Genomic DNA, 21,357 nt, shown 5'->3' with positions numbered 1-21,357 from the left:
AAATTTGAAGTATTAAGCATTTTTCTTTATGGCATTAAGGACTGTATAAATATTCACCTAGTATGTTTATGGTTTCACTTTTTATGTTTGAATCTTTAAACACTTGGAGTTAATTTCATTGTAGGGTATCAGGTGTGTAGTATGGATTTAAGATTATTTTTGTGTTTGGCTAGTTGTCTAAACACCACTAATTGAGTAATCAATTTGAGGTACCATTTCAAATCATATATTAAGTTCTTATAAATGACTCTAGGTGTAAATATTATAATTTTCTCAATTGATATGTCTGGCATTTCCTGCAACAATATCACATAATTTATTTTATCATACTTCGTATTGTCACTTGGATGAGATTTTCCTGTCTTTTACAATTTCAAAATATTTTGGCTTTTTAAACATATTTATTACATTGTTATCCTCACAGTTATTTTGGCAATTATATCCATACAATGGAATACTAGTAAGCAATAAAAAGGAACAAACTACTGACACAGCTACACCATCGATGAGCCTCTAAAACATTACATTCATTGAAAGAGCTAGACACGAGAGATCTAATAATATATGATTTGAGTTATATGAAATGCCTGGAAAAGGCAAATTTATAGAGACAGAAAGTCGATTAGTTGTTACACGAGACTAGCGATGGAAACTGGAAATAACTGTAAATGGCAATAAGGGATCTTATTTGTAGGGATGAAATGCTCTAAAACTAATTTAGGATTTTGGCTAGACCATGCAGTAAGGTTACCAAAATTTATTTTATTGCACTGGAAAGGAGTGATTTTTATGATATGTAAAATACAATTCAGTAATGTTGTCATTTTAAAAGAATTATTCTAGCAAGTTAATAAAAATTATCACTGTTTTGTTAGAAATTGGACTATATTTATATATTAATTTTATAACTGATTTCTAAGAATATTGTTTTCTCTTCTGAACTATGATATTTATTTTCTAGGGAATTTCTAGAACTTTATTACTATAACTTCACAGTTTTACTATTAATCCCCTAGATCATTAGGTTTGTTTGTTTGTTTTATTTTTAGGAGGTTGCTATTGTTGATAATTTTCCCTCATTAAATAAAATAAGTGCTTATTGATAATATAAATAGAAGACTGCTTGGTTTTTATGTATTTACTTCATAAATAGTCCCATTAATAAAACTGATTGTTAGTTCTAACAAGTAAGTGATTCTGGAATGCATGGAAAAGTGTGAGTTACATTAGCAATCTGACTGACCTCTGGACCAGAGATTTTAGAACAACAGATTATAGATTTAGCCATAACTTGGGTAATTTCACTGTGAGTTTTCTTCCCCCAGAAGTTGTTAGGTGGAGGTCACTTGGTCCTGGAAATTTATCAACATTTAGTTTGTCAATTTGGTTTAAATTGAGAATATCTACTACCAATATCAGACCTTGAACCTATGGCCTACCAATATGAAAATAGAATTTTAGAATGGGGATTTTTATAACAGCATGCTTAGTAAATTAACTATCTAATGTGTAACAGTGATTAGCATTTCACTGAATTCAAGCATATGTTAGGAGATCACAATCAGAATCCTGGCCATCAGGTAAATTAAGAAACCATTTGGCTGGGAATAGAATGATTAGCATAGGGATAATCTCCTCTGTTGCTGATGATTATTGGGCTTGAGACAGTTATCTAATATCCACGTTTCAGCAAATATTGAGCAAATCTTTACCACTAGGAAAAAAAAATGAAGATTTTAGTTGCTTATATTCAGTTGCTGACATATTTACCATTTAAAGACACTCTGTTATACTAATGTACACTCTAATTACCAGATAAAGGTGTATGAGAGGAAGTTAGAAAGGTCAAGTTGTGGTAAATTTATGAAAAAAAACGAAAGAGAGAAGGTGGCATGTTGGAATTCACTTAGAAATATGTATCATTGTGAGGAAAGAAGTAAATTTTGAAAGTTGCCCTGAATTATTGGAGCAGAGAAAGTATGACTTACAAAGATATTGTGGCATGATATTGCTGTTCATTTAGAGTTGTAGCAATTTTTAATTTTTATTACTGGATGCAGTAATATCAAGAGGCATTTGAGATATCTGCTGGTTCCATTGAAACACCTCCTATTGTATGACAGTTACAAAATGTTTTTCTGGATAATCAGGATTATCCCCCAGCCAATATTGTAAATATTAATTTTTGCCATTTACCTTTTGGCACAAAGACCCCCAAACTGCAGTCTCAATTTATCATTAAGTTGGCATTGCTCCATCTTGGAAGCACAAATCTCACAGGTACAAAACCTTCAAACCAATAGAACCAAAAGTTAAAAAGATGGAGTAAAAAGTTATTAATGGGTTATTACTTGAACAAGCAAGTAAATTTGGAAAGTGGCTCTGAAATATTTGAGCAGAGAAGGTACGCATTACAAAAATATTTTGGCATGATAGTTCTGTTCATTTTTTCACTCTTATGTCAACTGCTTGGTTTCCAGATGCTTGGGATATGGCTATAAAAGAAACAATATTATTTGTTGTTTCTGGTTTGGAGCATACATTGTTATTCTAAGCGGCTTACTTTGCAATAAGATAGATGATAAAGTTAGTGAATCCCATGAAATTTAGCCCATTGTACATCTTATTTTACCAAAAGTCTGCTCCTTGTTCAGGAGCAATATTGCATAAGATTCCACGATGAAGTTTTCAGAAACACCACAGATTGTAGAGTTATATATAGCATGACAGATAGAGAAATAAAACTCAAATCCAGCTTGTGTCTAACCTGTGTCATAAATTAGATTCCTTGAAAAGTAGACTTGGAGATAGGTTTGTGTGTAGGATGTTCATTGAAGGGTGCTCTAGGAACCATCAGCTCTGGATGGGTGAAAGGATGAGAACTGGAAGGAAGTTGTGAAACAATCATGCAAAGTCCTTGGCCAGCCCCTATAGGGAGTTCTAAATCTGGAATGGCCCTGCAATTTTGTCTTGAAATGGGGACACAGGGACTGGGCCTTTACATAGTTCCATCAACAAAGTCTTTAGAGTACAGAACATAAGAATTAATCCATGTTGGTGGATCCATGAATAAACTTTCCTTTATTTCCTGGTGCTTTAATTCATACTCCTAGGGCATACCATCTTTTATCTATCTGGTTATGAAGAACCACTGTACTAGAGGCCTTCTGGTGAGAATTTTCATGGGATGTATATATGCTCATACTTTAAGCTTATTCTGAGAGGTCTTCCCCAAACCTGTTGGCCGCAACCCTTCACACGTGGTCTAGTCATAGAAAACTCCCAGGAGTCTAGGTGTGTTGGAGGTAGTTACTATTGTGGCAGAAATGCACATATACTAAGAGTGGGAGCAATCCATTTTGAATCTTGGGACCTACTTGATCCTATTGCCTATTGTAATATCATTTATATCGCTACATTACAGGAGAGAAACCTTGATCGTAAGGAATTTAAATCTTTTATAATGGTCAGAACCACACTTGTCCTGCATGTTTGCCTTTGCTCAGCAGCAAAATTGGTATCAGGAGGAGATACCAATTCTATGTTCAAAATTTTTCTCTTGCCAAGATAGCCTGGAAAAAATGTCAGTCAGTACTTCTATTCATAAGACATGCATAAATGGAAGAGACTCACTGAGAATTGCCCCCCAACAAATGCATTATCATTTTATATATTGCTGAATTAGATTGCTAATATTCTATGTAGAAATTTTGCATCCATTTTCACATTTGTGATTGGTTACACTTTTCCTCTCCTCTAATGTTTTAGTCAGGCTTTGGTGTCAAGTTTTGTTGGCTTCATGAAACCAGTTGGGAGTATTCTTTCATTGTTCTCTTGAAAAATTTGCATAATATCGATATTATTCTTTGTTCACATATTTGGTGGATTTCACCAGTGATGCCATCAGAGTTTGGAGTTTTCTAATTGAGAAGGTTTTAAATTATACATATATAATCATTAGAAGATTATATAGAACTGTTCAGATTATCTATTTTTGTGTGTCAATTTTATTAAGTTCATGACTACCAATTTGTCAAATTTATATAATGATAAATTTATTGGCAATATTTTTATAACATCCTTTTTGAAATATTGGAAAATCTTTGTTCCAAGCTCTCGGCAAATAATTAGGAGCCAAAGGAAATGTTCTTAAATTGTTAAAAGAGTTTTACAAAAAAATCTAAAATGAACATCCTACTTAATGGTAAATATTTTAAAGATTTTCTTTTAAGATAAAAAGCAAAACAAGTTTGCATTTTATTACTATTATATTTAACATTATACTGGGGTTCTTAGCCCATGAGCAAGGCAAGAATAAATAAAATAAGTTCTAGAAAGGGAAGAGTGCAATCATTATTATTTGCAGATAACATAATTGTCTGTGTAAAGCAGCTAAACATTTACAGACAAATTATTAGAATAAAAGAGCTTAGCAAGGTAAATAAATATAGATTTACAAAAATTTCTCTATACAAGTAGCAATTAATAAAAATGATATTTTAAAGTATATACCATTGGTAATAGAATCCAAAAAAAGAAATAAAAGGCATACAGACCAGAGAGGAATAAATACAACTATCTTTATAGGCATGTAACATGATTATCTAAGATAAATATCCCCAAGAAAATTTTTAAAAATTCAAAAAAAGTGAGTAGATTTAGCAAGGTCACAGTATACAAGACCAATACACATGCATTAGCTGAATATCTGCATTCTAGACATGAGTAACTGAAGTTGAAAGAAATAATACCTTTTACAATGGCTTCAAATCATAAAAATATTAAGGGATGAATCCAACCAAATATGTACATCACTTATATGCTGAAAACTAAAAAATTTGGATAAATCAAGGAAAAGATAAATAAGTGGAGACATAAACCATGTTCATGTATTTGGAGAGTCAATATTTTAAAAACATTCATTATTTTCATTTTAATCTAGCAATTCAATGCAATCCCAATTAAAATCACAGCAGGCTTCTTATATACATTGACAAGATAATTCTCACTTTTATATGGAAATATAAAGGAATAGAATAGAATAGAATAGAATAAAACAACTTTGAGAGAAAGAGAAAGGTTTGGAGGACTCATACTACCTGAGTTAAAGACTTAAAATTTCTGTGGCCTAGACAGTGTAGCACTAGAGGAAGAATAACATAATTCAACAGAAAAGGATAAGGTACAGAAATAAATCTACATACAGATGCTCAATTGATTTTTGAAAAAGTGTCAAGATAATTCAATGAACAAAGAATAGTTTTGTCAACGAATCTTGCAGGAACTCTTGGACATCCTGATATGGTTTGGCTGTGTTGCCACCCAAATCTCATCTTGAATTGTAGCTCCCACCGTTCCCACATATTGTGGGAGGGGCCCAGTTAGAGGTAATTCAATCATGGGGGCAGGTCTTTCGCATGCTAATCTCATGAGGGTGAATAAGTCTCTTGATATCTAGTGATTTTATAAAAGGAGTTTCCCTGCACAAGTTCTCTTCTCTTGTCTGCTGCCATGTGAGACATGACTTTCACCTTCCACCATGATTGTGAGGCCACCCCAGCCACATGGAACTATGAATGAGTCCATTAAACCTCTTTCTTTTGTAAATTGCCCAGTCTTGGGTATATCTTTATCAGCAGCATGAAAACGTACTAATACACATCCACATGCAAAAATGAACCAGTCTGTACTCCACACCATATACAAAACTTAATTTGAAGTAGACTTAAATGTAAAACCTAATCATGTGAAATTTCTAGAAGAAAACATAGAAGAAAATCTTTATGATCTTGTGAGAAGTATTGGTTTCATAAATAGGGCACACACATACCCACACAACAATAAAAAAACCACAAAAGATTACTCTTCATCAAAATAAAAATCTGCTGTTCACAATACATTGTTAAGAAAATTAAAATACAAGGTAAAAACTAGGAGAAAATATTTGCAAAACACCTATTTGTGAGGTCTGGTATCTAGATTACATAAAGAACTCTCACAATTATATAATATAACAATAAACAACCCAATCAAAAGAAGCAAAAGATTTGAGTAGACACTTCACCAAAAAGAGGTATGCGTAAGCACATAAAAACATGCTCAACACTATTAATCATAAGAGAATTGAACACTAAAAGAATAAATGAGATTTACATACTTACTAAAATGACCAAAATTAAGCAAACCGACAATGCCAAGTCAAAGATGCAGAGCAACTGGAACTCTCCTATGTTGCTGTTGAACAAGCAAATAGCTATAGTTTCTTTGGAAAACAGTTCGGCAGTTTGTAAGGTGGTTAAGCATCACCTTAATATATGACCCCATAAGTCAACCCTTAGGTTTACACAAGAGAACTGAAATCTTATGTTCACAGAGAGGACCATTTGCAAATGTTTATAGCAGCTGTATTTTTAATCACTGAAATATGGAAACAATCCAGATGTCTATCACCTGAGGAATGGATAAATAAATTGTGGTACCTTTATACAATGGAATACTATTTAGCAATAATAAGAAATGAATTGTGATATATACAACAGTATGGTGAATTTAAAAAGCATTATGTTAATTTTAAAAGCCAAACACACAAAAAACTACATTCTGTATACCATTTATATGATATTTTGGAAAAGACAAAATGTTGGGGACAGAATTTAGATCAACTAGAGACTAGGAGTGGAAATGATATCACAAAGTATCACAGGTCAATTTTAGGAAGCAACAGAAATACTTTTTTTTTTATCTTGATGGTGACAGCTCTGACTATATTTGTTAGTTAAAATCATATATTTAAAAATAATTTTTATGTAAATTATACCTCAATAAAAATAGATATATACTATTTCAAATAGCATCCAGACACTAAGAAACTAGTAATAAATTTAACAAAAGATGTGCAAAATATATGAAGAAAGTTATAAAACTTTACTGAGCAATATTAAAAAGACCTAAAAATGGAGAAATATATAAATTGAAGGATGGAAATACTAAATTTGGGTCAATTCTCCTCAAACTGTTTTATAAATTCAATGTAATATGAATTAAATCCCAAAAGGATTTTTAAAGTACTTGACAGCTAATTCTGAAATATGTATGGAAATATAAAGTAATAAGAGTAGCTAAGATGTTGTTGAAGAAGGAAAACAAGGTAGCAGCTCTGAAATTCTAGATACCAGACTTAAAGCTATTCTAACCAAGACAGCGTGAATTGACATAGAGATAGAAAAAGAGAGGCGAAATGAAGAAATGTGTATGTGGGAGTATTGACACTTGCTGTATGACAGATGTGACACAGTATATCAGTGGAGAAATAAAGGCCTTTCAATCAATGGAAAAACCGGAAATTGAGCATCTGTATAAAAAACAGGGCTGGGCACAGTGGCTCACGCCTGTAATCCTAGCACTTTGGGAGGCCCAGGCGGGTGGATCATGAGGTCAGGAGATCAAGACCATCCTGGCTAACACGGTGAAGCCCTGTCTCTACTAAAAAATACAAAAAATGAGCCGGGCATGGTGGCGGGCGCCTGTACTCCCAGTTACTCGGGAGGCTGAGGCAGAATGGCGAGAACCCGGGAGGCGGAGCTTGCAGTAAGCTGAGATGGCGCCACTGCACTCCAGACTGGGAGAGAGAGCAAGACTCCGTCTCAAAGAAAAAACACACACACACACAAACAAACAAACAAAAACAGAATTAGGCTCGCTCTTGCATCATAGTCAAAAATACATTCCCAATGGAATAAATAGTTACATATGAATGACAAAGCTAAACAACCTCAGAAAGGTGCTATAGGAGAACAACTTGCAGTCTTCAGATTGGTTAAGAGTTCTAAACTTCAACAACATTAATGTTGGCAAGCATGTGAAGCAATAGGAATTCTCAAGCTGCTCATCAGAGTGTAAATTTGATTTATCCAGTATGAAATATCGTTTGGCAGTATGTGTGAAAGTTGACTGTAAACATGCCCTATAGTCCAACAATTCCACTGTAAGCAGCAACATTTGTAGTAGCCAAAAGCTAGAAGCACCCCAAATGCCCATCAAGAGAATGGCTAGATAAATTGCAGCAAGTTCATACAATGGAATATTATATAGCAATGAAAATAAGCAAACTAGAACTACATGCGACAGCATGGATTAATCTTAAAAATACAATGTTAAGTGCGAGTGTCAAGATGCCAAAGAAACCATACAGTATAACTGTATTCAAATAAAGTTCAGAAGTCAGAAGAGTGGCTACTTCTGAGGAAGAAAGGGGTTTTGATTTAAAGGGACACTTTGGTGAAGGGTTTTTTTATGGAGCTTGTAACATTCTATATCAACCTAAGTGGAGTTAATGGGTGTTTGCTTGAAAATTATTTAGCACAAATATTATTGTGTCTTTTCTGTATGTAGGTTATATTTCACATAAACATAATTTGAAAAGCAAAGCACAAAACAGAAATATTTGGGCACTTACCCCATAATTATGCAGTCATGTGTACTTTTCCTAACCTTTGAGATGGAAGATGAAATGTATAGCACTGGCCTTTGACTGTCAAATCTCTCTAGGAAGTTGGCATCATGGGCAGTTACTCAGTCTGACTTGTCATAGCAGCCACACAGTGGGAATAGACTTTATGGTGCTATGATTATAGTAGTCATGCCTATTTATATCCTCAGCACTATAACTCATTGATTAGCAGATAAAAACTGTTCAGTGCATGTTTTCTGAATGAACGACTAAATAAATGAAGAAGTGAATGAATTAACAGCACCTCTCACTGAAGCCTACCACCTCACTGCAGAGCCTGGAAAACCAGTTGACTTCCCTGGAATAATTCCTTAATGGAAAACTATAAATAAATTTTAAGGAATAATTACCCTCAACTCTTTGGACTTGGGAGTAATTTTTAAAATAATCTATGAACCTTTAAAAGTCACGAGGAAACTGAGACTCATCTAAGAACTACTGAATCAGTCTGCTGAGGTAGGACCCTACCTGGTGTTTTAAGAAAGCATCAGAGAATATTCTAAGTCATTCCCCTGAAATGCTACATAAAGAACACTAAATAACCAACTCTACTAACTTCACAATTATCTAAAACTTTGAGAATATCTTTTTTTCCCCTTTTCAAATACAACTTCTGATAGATTTCTGTAAAAACATACCAAATCAACCCACTTTCTACCTTTTATCGGTTACAGATTCCCATTCAGAAGCAAAAAGGCTCTCCATGGTAAGCAAATATGTAATTAAGATTTACTTTGGTTCAGTGAAAATATGCCTTCTTTCTAAAGAAGTCCCCAAGGCTAGGTTCAAAGTAGGCAAGGTTAGATATGGTGGATTTATCGGTAAATTTAGCCCAATGTAAGAGGCATGTCTTCAAACCTATTAAAGATGGTGCTTATGTGATAGTCTGTGATGTCTTCCGCCTAAGGATTTGGGCAATCCGTGCACTTTACTTCAGCCTTGAAAGTGGATTTATAAGAGAGAAAAGGAAAGTGCTGGGATTTTTTGTTTTCTTGGTTTAACATCCTCCCTTTGACCACATAATAGTCCCCAAACTCACACAAGCAGTTCCATATGGAGATGAGGAATGTCTAGCCAAAACAAGTTGTTCAGCTTATTAGCCTTGGGCTGAATAAGTTACTCAGAATATCTGGCATGACAACCCCATTTGAAAAGGAGGGGTGGGATGGCTGTGTTTGCCTTTTCATTCTCCCCCTAGAGTTTTAGAGGAGAAAACAAATAGTGAGGCAACACTGCAGGCCAGAAGCCCTGTGCTCAACTGTTTTCTCTGACCATTTGAAAAGCCTCCCAAGAACAATGACCCAGATTTCTTTGCACTTGACTGGCTGCAGAGAGACGGGCACATTGCACAATTTTCATTGTTGTCTAGTTTCACATTTGATCCTTCTTGGACAAGACTATCAAGTTGCTTTGGTGTGAATCTTGGCAGAAAAAGCTTCTTCTCTACACGAATTTGAAATACTGAGAAAGGCTAAATAAATTGGCTCCAACTGTAAGCTCTATCGTAGAGGAGATGTAAGACCACAGGAGAATTAGAATACATCTTATTTTTGAGATCTTCTTGAGATGAAATTAATTTTTATAACATATAGGGAGTGTAAAATTGTGTTTAAGTGTAATTATAATGTTATTTGAGGTCCCCCCCCCACCGCCGACACCCCAATCAGTTGGGTAAGAAACTCAGTTAATCCCTCTGTCTGTAGTTCAAGTATTAATTGGCACATCATGCAGTTATTCTGCTTATCCATTTTGGCATCATTCAGATTTACAAAATAAAGGACATGTAGTTTAGTATTAATTTAGTATTAATTTTTCCATCAGCTCTTACACATCATGCCCATCTGCTCAACCTTCTCTCTTTTCTTTCCTTCTTTCTTTCTTTTCTTTCCTTCTTTCCTTCTTTCCTTCCTTCCTTCTTTCCTTCTTTCCTTACTTCCTTCCCTTTTTCTTTCTTTCTTTTTCTTTCATTTTCTCTTCCTTCCTTCATTTTCTTTTTCTTTCATTTTCTTTCCCTCCCTCCCTTCCTTCCTTCTTTCCCTCCCTCCCACCATCCTTCCTTCCTTCTTCCCTTCAGTCTTTCTCTACCCCTCCCTGTCCTTCCTTGTTCTTTCCTGCTCTCCATCTCTCTTTCTTTTTTTAAAAAAGCACATGCATACCTTAAGAGAATCTTTGAAACTAGTTCTGAAGACTGTTAAATGTAAGTAATAAAAGATTCCTTCTACAAATATAATTCATAAAAGAATAAATTTTGAAAAAAAATTTAAACCACAAAATTTCTAGTCTCCCTGTCTTTTTTAGAAAAAAAAATATTGACTTTTTTGAGGAAGATGATCTAGTAAATAATGCTGAATTCTGCAGCATTTTAACTAGGTTAAACCCCATGACAACTAAGTGGAAGACCCCTGTGGAAAAGCATATGGTAAATTACATATCCACTTGTTCTGTAAAATAATTTTATGTCCCATTAATTCAACATAACAAAACCCAAGAGACTAAGTGACACTTCTAGGCAGCAGTGAAGAGCAATTGTGGCAGCACCCTACAAGAATGTTCATTTTGCATGGCTGCAAAACATTTGCATGATATACAATTTGCCAATAATTACCCTGACATTTTGATGGAGCCTGACTTCCATATTTGTAAATATTTGTGGTTGCTAAGTAACCAGTTATACTTATTTACATTTGTGTACAATGTCATTTTGTGGCAAAGGAGAGTTTTAGACTTTACAGCCAAGGGACACTACCTTCTAATAGATGCCTTCTAAGGAGTTTCTAATAGAAATCTTTTATGTAACGTATTTATGTTGAAAAATTTCAACCCTTTTCACAACTGAACACTTCTGGTTTATTATATTGCTTTTTCTAACACAGACTGTTTATATGGAACAAGATATTCTCTTCTACTCTGATTCATTCATTCTTTATTTCAACATACTTTTAAAAATTATTTTGTTTTAGATTCAGAGGGTACACGTGCATCTTTATTACATGGGTATATTGCATACTGGTGGGGATTGGGTTTCTAGTGTACTCATTAGCGAACACTGTACTCAATAGGTAATTTTTCAACCCTTAGCCCTTCCTGCCCTTTCTTCTTCTGGAGTCCCCAGTGTCATTTATCTTATTTTTATGTCCATGTATACCCATTGCTTAGCTCCCACTTGTAAGTGAGAACATATGGTATTTGGTTTACTGTTTCTGAATTAGTTCACTTAGGATAATGTCCTCCAGCTCCATCCATGTTGCTATAAAGGACATGATTTCATGCTTTTTATGGATGCATAGTATTCCATGGTGTGTATACATATATATATATATACACACACACACACATATATATATATATATATACACATCACAATTTATTTATCCAGTCAACTGTTGATGGACACTTATATTATCAACAGACACTTTTGCAAGACCATATATTAGGTCCTTTGGGCAATTTGAGGATTGTCCTACCTTCTCCTAAGAGTTTAATAGAGAAGATAAGATCCATGAAAAAAACTCAAGTATGCATATAACCTAATTGCCCCCAGGTCTCCCTAGCCAATGAGGACTGAAATATCCCACCTGCTCTAATAGGAACTGCACACAGGAAGCATCCCCATCAAACATTTCTGGGAGATCCTAAGGAGTGCTTTCCATATGTTCACAAACCAGGTTGTCAGCTCATGTTACTATGAGGTATTGATCCTGCCTTTCTTCTTCTATATTGGCTTCCTTTATTTTCGTCTTCTTCTTATAAAGCCCCTTGAACAGTCTTCACATTTACTCACCCCTCAGATACTTCATGAGTACTTCCTGTAAGACAGGCACCCCTTTCTTCTAGAGGTAAGTAATAAACACTTTGGGAAAAGCCCCTGACTCTTGGCACTTTGTGTATATGTGGTTGGGGGAAGGGTTAAGGAAAGGCAAATCAGATGATTTCAGATAGTGACAAATAAGGGAGCAGGCATAGTGATACATGCCTGTAGTCTTAGCTACTCAGAAGGTGGAGGTGAGAGTACTACTTAAGCCCAGAAGTTGAGGCTACAGTGAGTTATAATTGCACCACTGCACTCCAGCCTGGGTGATAGAGCAAGAGCAAGATCCTGCCTCTTAAAAAAAAGTGACAAATAGGGTAGATGACACAGAGGTTGGTGAAAGGGGTTACAAAAAGTGAGCAAGACTCTCTGAAGAGGAGGCATTTGACTTGATGAGAAGTTGCTACTGATGTTAGCATCCATGAAGAGAATGCCAATTGCATGTCCAGGGTATTGTGGATATTGTGGTTCTGTCATTGCTAATCCTCAACTTTTGGATTGCAGATATTCCCTCAACTCCTCAACTTTTGCCATACTTTGTTATCCAGACCCCAAAGAGCACACTTGTTTCCAATACCATTATGTCTTTCATCCATACAACTCCTTCAGCTCTGCGGATATGGACAGACACCATGCCAGTAGTTCCATACCCTCATCTCCCTCCTCCCCAGGTGCTAATCAGGATTTGGGGGGACTGACACCTATAAAATCAGGGCCTTCTTCAAGAAAAAGAACATAATATGAATACAAAATTATGTACAGAGAATTGGAAAGGAGCCAAGCTTAGTCCTTTTTTGGTTGGCAACAGGAGGCTCCATGCAGAGTAACCCATACACACAGAATCCCAGGAAGCACTCTGCACAAGCCACATTCAGAGTCTCAGTTTGAGACCCTGTGATACAAAATAAAAAGACGCACTTACTATATGATTGATAAAGGCAAAGAGAGATAGGAGTTGAGAAGAGGGAAAGATTGCATCCCAGTGGAGGCAATCAGTAGACACTTTATGCAAAAGGTGCTATCTGGGCTGCAACTTAAAGGATGAATAAAATTTGCGTACTCAGAGATGATGGAACAACTTTACTGAGAGCCTCATCTGTGCATAGTGCTTCCATATCCTATAACACCCTTTTCAAGAACATCCCACAGTGGGAAGCTTCATTTTACAGATGATTATGCTAAAGGCTCAAAGTTATATAAATGATATTGCATAAGTTGCTAACTTATTTAAGTCATGTTTCCCACTCAGGCTCGTCTGAGTTGAGTGCTTTTTCCCTTATGCCAGGCTGACTCTCATTTTGAGCAAAGGACTAAGGATTACAAACCTTGAACAAGCATAGAAACAAACAGTTGAGGTACTGGCTGAATCACAAGGAGTAGGGATCAATGGAGTTGGAAAAATAGTTCAGGAACAGGTTAATGAGGGCTTAAATGTTACTTAGCACGTTGCATTTTATTTTATATTAATACATGTAAATAAACAATATCACAAATCATGGCCAAGTTCCATCAGCATAACCTCTCGCTGCATGTGAATACAGTAAGGGCACATTGCAGTGAAAACACAGCTTGCATTAATTTCTACAAGAGCTACTCAGATATAATATCAAGAGTGCTGAAAAATAATCAACATTTTACTGATGTTTGAAATGCCATGATGGAAAATTCGTCCTTTGTCCCCTGTTAAACTCTTACCTCTGAAAGGGGCAAAAATTACTGTATTTGAGATTATTAACTTGTTCCCTGGGAGCAGCCTTAGAGAAGCAGGCAGCATGAGGGTAGAGGCTGAGGGAAATTTAATGTCATAAACAAGAGGAAACGCCACAATTTTTGGTTGTACCTTTACTTTCCATCATGTGGCTCAGTCACACCCTTGTTCTCCTCTAAGTAGAAAGACAATCCAGAGCCAAAGCCACAGGTACAATGGATCTGTGTTTCAAGTAAGGAAGAGCCACTCTGTTCTGTTGAAGTCATCTCTGGAGCAAGCTCTAGAGCAGGGAAGCAGTGTGTAACAAGCAGAGAGGAGGGAGAACTCTAGCAAGTGGAGGATGACAGCAGACTCCCTCCCGGGAGCAGCAGCTCCTGTGGTCTCATTGCTGGTGGGCTGTCAGCCTCTTCCCAGCTGCTTCCTGGTGACTCCTGCTGGGTGTGTCTGGGAGGCTTCATACACTTTGATTCCAACTGCATTTTGTTATTCTCCTTGAGAGGTTTCTCATCTGGGATCCCATGTGGGGACTGGCAGAGGCATGTGTTTCTGTTTGTAAGGCTAGAGAAGATGTTAAGAAAAAATTGTTAAAGGAAATGCAAAGTCCATATTTTGTTCTAGAGAGAACCTTTGGGCTACTTGGTCATTAAATGTTGCCAAGCTCCATCTGGCAACTCAGCCTTGATTTTGCTATTAAGCAAAAATAAGCAACATTCCACAAAGTTGTGCAATCTGTTGACTGGACTTCATAGGTTTGTTAAGAATGTCAGGGAGGGTCCATCAAGGACTGCACATTGTACTTGTTTCTCTAGAGCATGAGCTTCTGAGGATAGGAGCCACATCTTTCTATCAATTACTGAAGCTAGTTTAGTGTTTTGATTTAAATTTGTGGAATGAGTGAATGAATGACTAGATTTAATCCCTGATTGAAATGAATCTTGACATGAGGCTCTTCTGTAAATGATCTTATCTGTGATCATGCAAACCGAGGAGTCCAGAGTGCATGTGAGATAAAGAAATGTAACCTTGAAGGAAGAAATGTATAGCTGAAGTTTTGTTTTTTTGTTTTGTTTTGTTGTTTTTCTTTTTTTTTTTTTTTTTGAGATGGAGTTTCACTCTTGTTGCCCAGTCTGGAGTGCAGTGGTGCAATCTCGGCTCACTGGAACCTCTGCCTCCTGGGTTCAAGTGATTCTCCTGCCTCAGCCTCCCTAGTAGCTGGAATTACAGGTATGTGCCACCACGCCTGGCTAATTTTGTGTATTTAGTACAGATGGGGTTTCTCCATGTTGGTCAGGCTAGTCTCAAACTCCTGACCTCAGGTGATCTGCCTGCCTCAGCCTCCCAAAGTACTGGGATTACAGGCGTGAGCCACCGTGCCCAGTCTAGCTGAAGTTCAATTCTGAGTTTTGCTTGTAAGTAGAAAAGAAATCCAGCTGGCCAGGCGTGGTGGCTCTCACCTGTAATCCCAGCACTTTGGGAGGCTGAGGTGGGTGGATCACCTGAAGTCAGGAGTTCAAGACCAGCCTGACCAATACAGTGAAACCTTATCTCTACTAAAAATACAAAAATTAGCTGGACGTGGTGGTGTGCACCTATAATCTCAGCTACTTGGGAGGCTGAGACAGGAGAGTTGCTTGAACCCAGGAGGCAGAGGTTGCAGTGAGCCGAGATCGCGCCACTGCACACCAGTCTGGGCGACAGAGACAGAGCAAGACTCCATCTCAAAAAAAAAAAAAAAGAAAGAAAGAAAGAAAAGAAATCTACATACACCATCAAGTGATGATGATTCGTGTCAGACACTAATAACAGAGTAAATGCCATAACAGAGTAAATGTGGTGAAATGATCATATGAATTTCATTCGTGCTCCTTTCCTCTTCAAAATGCTTTGATAGCTGCCCAAACCACCTTCTGGAAAATAACAAACACATTGGCCAGATTTGCATCACCTTCTCTTAGAAACTGCTTTTCATCTAAAGGAACATGTTCAATTGGACAAACATGAGCTCAAATCCCACCTTCTACTACTTCCTAGTTATGTAACCTAATTTCCTTTTCTTTTTAGGCCTCAGCTGCTTTATCTGAAAATCATTGGAAAAAATAGCCGTTCTTTATCAGAAAATTTGACTTTAAGAGGTTTCATATGGCAAAGCCTGGAAGAAAAAGACATTTTCATAAAACCCATCTAAACCCATAAAACTCAGAATTCACCTCATAATTATTCTCAACTCCATTCATTTGACATTTACTGTGGATTGTCTGATTCTTAATTAATACTATGCAATGACTGTTTATGTTACCCCAAAATTCATATGTTGAAACCCTTATCCCCATTGTGACTGTATTTGGAGGTGGGACCTTTGGGAGGTAATTAGGGTTAGATGAAGTCATAAGAACAGAACCCCATAATGGGATTAATGCCCTTATATAAAATGGAAGAGACACAAGACTAATCTGCCTGTGTATACCAAGGAAAGGCCATGTGAGGACATAAAAGGGAAAGGGCTGTCTTAGTTCACAAGAATACAAGATTAATCTTGTGTCTCATCTGTTTTATATAAGGGCACTTATTTATCATTTATTCTGCTATTACGGAATACCGGAGACTGAGTAATTTATAAAAACAAAAATTTATTTCTCATATTTCTGGAGGCTGGGAAGTCCAAGATCAAGGTGCTGGCATCTGTTGAGGGCCTTCAGAAGAGAAAGAGCGAAAAGGAATGAGTGTTGTGTCTTCAAATGGCAGAATACAAGGTGAAACCACTCCACTAAGCACTTTTAATAGCAGCATTAATCCATTCATGAAGAGAGAACCCTTATGATCTAAACATGTCCCAAAAGGTCCTGCTTCCCAATACGACTGCATTCGGTATCAAGTTTCTGACATGAATTTTGGGGGCTACATTCAAACCATAGGTAGGGCCCTCATGAAGACGCTGACCATGTTGGCATCCTGATCTCAGATTCCCAGCTTCCAGAACAGCAAGAAACACATTTGTGGGTTAAGCCACCCAATCTGTTGTATTTTATTACAGCAGCCTGAACTAAGAGTATCAGTTATTTTTCAATAAGAATAGCTACTATATACTAAAATATGTAGTACAATAGTCACAAGTACTAGACCCTAGCTCTGCTGCTTGCTAATTGTGTACTGTGGGCAATCACTTTACTATTTTATGTCTCAGGCCTTCACTGAAAAAATGAAGATAAAAATATAATGGTTGTTTTAGTTCATGTAAAGTGCTTAGCAAAGTATCACATAATAGTAAATATTCAATAAATGTTAGCTACCATTATCACCTATTTACTATGCATCATCAGGTATTATACCTTACATACCTTATCTCATTTAACCTCACAACCACACAATGAAATAGATACTACTATGTCGATTTCAGAATTAAAACAAAGCAAAACTATAACTTACAGAAGTTGAAGAACATGTTTAATGACACTATTGTTAAATGGTGGAGCCAGGATTCAAGACAAGATGCATATAAATTTCAATGCCTATATTCCCAAACATCCTGATTTTATTGGTCTGGGGTAGAGCCCAAGAATTGATATATTTAAAAATGTTGTTGATTTCCTATATAGCTGGGGTCGAGAACCCCACTAATCTAGAGATTTTCAGTTTTCACCTCCTCCAACCGCCTCGCCCTCACCCAAAGTAATGAATTAGAATTTCTCAGAGTACTGCTTAGAAAACTGCATTTTAAACAACCATTCCAGGTGATGGTCAGACTATCTTGGCCATCATTACTCTGTGTATATATTTTTTCCTCTAACAGATGGCCAATTCCTTAACATCACTTATGTCTTCCTCATAGGAGTATTTTTAGCATTTAGTTCAGTGTGTTACAGTCTTAGCAAAATAAGTTTCTATTGGTTGTTGAATGGTTAAGGACACTGTAAGAATGAGGTTGCTGAGAGAGGTTTAGAGTGTGAAATATGGCTGAGAGGACAACTCAGGTGTGGTATACAGGTGAATGATATTGAAGAGTTTTAAGGCACCTGTATTCCTGCGCAGAAAGATACAGAAAGCTGGGCATAGGGCTTAAGCCATGCTCTCCATAGTACTGAACTATTTACTATGTAAATCAAAACAGTAGATAATTCAGAATAGTGCCTTAAACCAGTCATAACAACAGCCTTCTTAGTTTACAGTCGGGGCAAATGAACTTTCTTTCTTTCTTATTGTTATCTTCTCAAATACATTTTCTTTCTGCCACTAAATCTGTTATGCTTTCAATCACCTGCATCTTTCATCTGAATACTGAGAATCCATAATAGAAGCAAGCCCACATTGAAGGTTAGGGCTTAGCAGAGGTGGCCTGTGTGAAGTCCAGTAGATCCTGAGCTTAGATCACAAAAATAGCTGACTTGAAGTTAGGACCTGGCCAGATTTCCCAGCTTTGAGAAATATAAACTGAGTGTACACTTCATCAACAAACTTAGCTCTTGCTTCAGTATGAAGCTTTAGACATGGAGCACTCTTCTACATATGAAGCAAAGCCTTTTGGGTTTTTGCTTAGTTTTCAATTGCATTGGTTGCAGATGACTGTTAAAAACAAACAAGAAACCAATTCAGTGCTCTCTGGGAAAAGACCAAATATGAATGTTCTGTTTTCATTCACATATGTTTTCCATTTATTGGAAACTGTAGAAATTCATCTATGCTATTGATTCTGACAATGAATATTAGGAGATCTTAAAAGGCCTTTGGAGATTGAAGCAGAAATAAAATTGACACATTTTTAAAGGAGTTCTTCATCCCTGTTCCCTTCTCAAATACTTTCCCTTATTTTATTAATGTTTTCATGATCAGAAATGGAGGAAAAATCACGAATGTATTAGACTTTTATACACATTTCCATGTCTTTCATCTCAATTATCTCTAATATATGTGGGTGATTTTATTCATCTGGACTTGCTATATGCCTTTTTGTTATGCTTTTGCAGTTTGTCCATTTATTTATATTTTTCTCTTTATTCTTTTTTGAGTAAGACACTGCCAAGAGAGTCTAGTACCTAATTAATGAAAAAAGAGTCTACAAAGGTTATTTGAAAACACTCAGGTTGTTTGTAAACATGAGTTGTCATGAGGTATTGTTTTGAATGGCCAAATCAATCATAATTTTAAAGATTTATTTTAGTCAAATTTGGGGTTTGTTTATATTTGTATAGATTTATAGAAGAAAATATTCTATTCAAGCTATTTTGATTGAACTGAAAAGACCCATCTTCACCCATCTCCCCTGTGACCTTTATTTCTTTGGAGGAGTTTTCTAGCAAGTTAGTTGCTAGTAAAGGTCTCTCTCTTTTTTTTTTTTTTTTTTAAGAGATGGCATCTTGCTATGCTGCCCAGGCTGGTCTTAAATTCCTGGCCTCAAGCAATCCTCCTACCTCAGACACCTGAGTAGCTGGGATTACAGGTGTGAGCCACAGCACCTGGCTCTTTTTTAAAAGTTATTATGGTAAAAGAAACATAACACAAAATTTACCATCCTAACCATTTTAAATGTACAGTTCAGAAGTATTAAATACATTTATAATGTTGTGCAACCACCACCACTTTCCATCCACATAACCCTTTTCATCTTGTGAAACTGAAACTGTGTACCTGTCCAACAATAACTGCCTGCCCCTTTCTTCTCTCCAGACCCTGGCAATCACCATTCTATTTTTTTGTATCCATTTTGACTGCTCTAAGTACCTCATATAAGTGGAATCATATAGTATTTGTATTTTTGTGACTTGTTTATGTCACTTAGCATACACAAAGTTCATTCATATTGTAGCATATGTGAGAATTTTCTTCCTTTCAAAGTCAACACTCCATTGTCTGTATATGCAAAATGTAAATTTTGCTTATCTTTTCATCCATCAGTGGATACTTAGGTTGCTTCCACATTTTAGCTATTGTGAATAATGCTGCGATGAACATGGTTTTACAAATATCTCTTTAAGATCCTGCTTTCAATTCTTTTGGGTATATACCCAGAAGTAATGTTGCGAGATCATATGGTAATTCCATTTAAATAATTTTGAGAAACTTTCATACTGTTTTCAAGAGCAGCTGTACCATTTTATATTCCCTGCAGCAATGCACAGGGGTTTCAGTTTTTCCACATGCTAATCAACGCTTGTTATTTTCTATAGTTTTTGAAGGTAGCCGTTGTAATGGTTGTGAAGCAGTATCTCATTATAGTTTTTATTTGCATTTCTTTTATGATTACAGATTTTGAACATTTTTATGTGTGTATTGGCCATTTGTATATCTTCTTTGAAGAAATGTTTATTCAAGTTCTCTGTCCATTTTTAAATCTGGTTGTTTATTTTGTTGTTATGTTTTAGGAGTTCTCTCTATACTATAGATTTTAATTCCTTATCAGATATATGATTTGCAAATTTTGTTTCTCATTTTATGTTTGCCTTTATACTTTATCGATATCATCTCAATGCAGGAATTTTTACAATTTTCGTGAAGCCCAATTTGTCTGTTTTTTCTCTTGTTGCCTATGCTTTGCTGTCATATTAAATAAATTACTACCAAATTTAACACCCTGAAGTTTTTGACCTGTTTTCTTGTAAAAGTTTTATAGTTTTAGGTCTTACATCTAGGTCTTTGAACCAATTGAAGTGAATTTTTATATGGTATTAGGTAATGGTCCAACTTCATTCTTTTGCATGTGGATATCCAGTTTTCCAGCATCATTGTTAAAAAGACTGCCTGTCTGCTACCCATTGAATGAACTTGACACTCTTGTCAAAAATCATTTGACCATACAAAAGTTTATTTCTGGTCTTTATATTCTATTTCATGGGGCTATAATTGTTCCTATACCACTGCCACACTGTTTTGATTACTGTGGCTGGGTAGTAAGCTTGAAATCAGAAATTGTGAGTTCTCCAATTATGTCCTGTTTCAAGATTGTTTTGGCAATTTTGGTTTCTTAAGAATTTGTATGATTTTTAAGATTATTTTATTTCTGCAAAAAAAGTCATTGGAATTTTGATGGGGATTGCATTGAATTGATGGATTGATTTGAGTAGTATTTTTATCTCAACAATGTTAAGTCTTCCAATCCACTAACTTGAGATGCATTTTCATTTATTTTATTCTTTATTTTAGCAATGTTTCATACTTTTCAGTGTACAAGTCTTTCACTTCCTTGTCTAATTCCTAAGTATTTTATTATTTTTGATGCTATTGTAAATGAAATTGTTTTTGTAATTTCCTTTTCAGAGTGTTTATTGTTAAGTGTACAGAAATGCAATTGATTTTTATGTATTGACTTTGTATCTTGCTACTTTGCTGAATTTATTTATTAAT

The 21,357-nt window shown here is 35.8% G+C and overlaps 1 long non-coding RNA gene across 1 annotated transcript in view; it reads right to left on the bottom strand.

Moving 5' to 3' along the window:
• Nucleotides 1-13,751: 13,751 nt before the first annotated feature.
• Nucleotides 13,752-21,357, bottom strand: part of LOC102724214 (uncharacterized) — a 51,115-nt gene continuing 43,509 nt past the window's right edge. The window contains exon 3 of the long non-coding RNA XR_932105.3: nucleotides 13,752-14,583. This is a non-coding gene — a long non-coding RNA (uncharacterized LOC102724214). The remainder of the gene's footprint in view (nucleotides 14,584-21,357) is intronic.

This window comes from Homo sapiens, chromosome 15, assembly GCF_000001405.40.
Source record: "Homo sapiens chromosome 15, GRCh38.p14 Primary Assembly".
Taxonomy (NCBI): Eukaryota; Metazoa; Chordata; class Mammalia; order Primates; family Hominidae; genus Homo; species Homo sapiens.
Note: the sequence above shows the minus strand (reverse complement) of the source record. Positions and strands in the feature narration are given on the sequence as shown.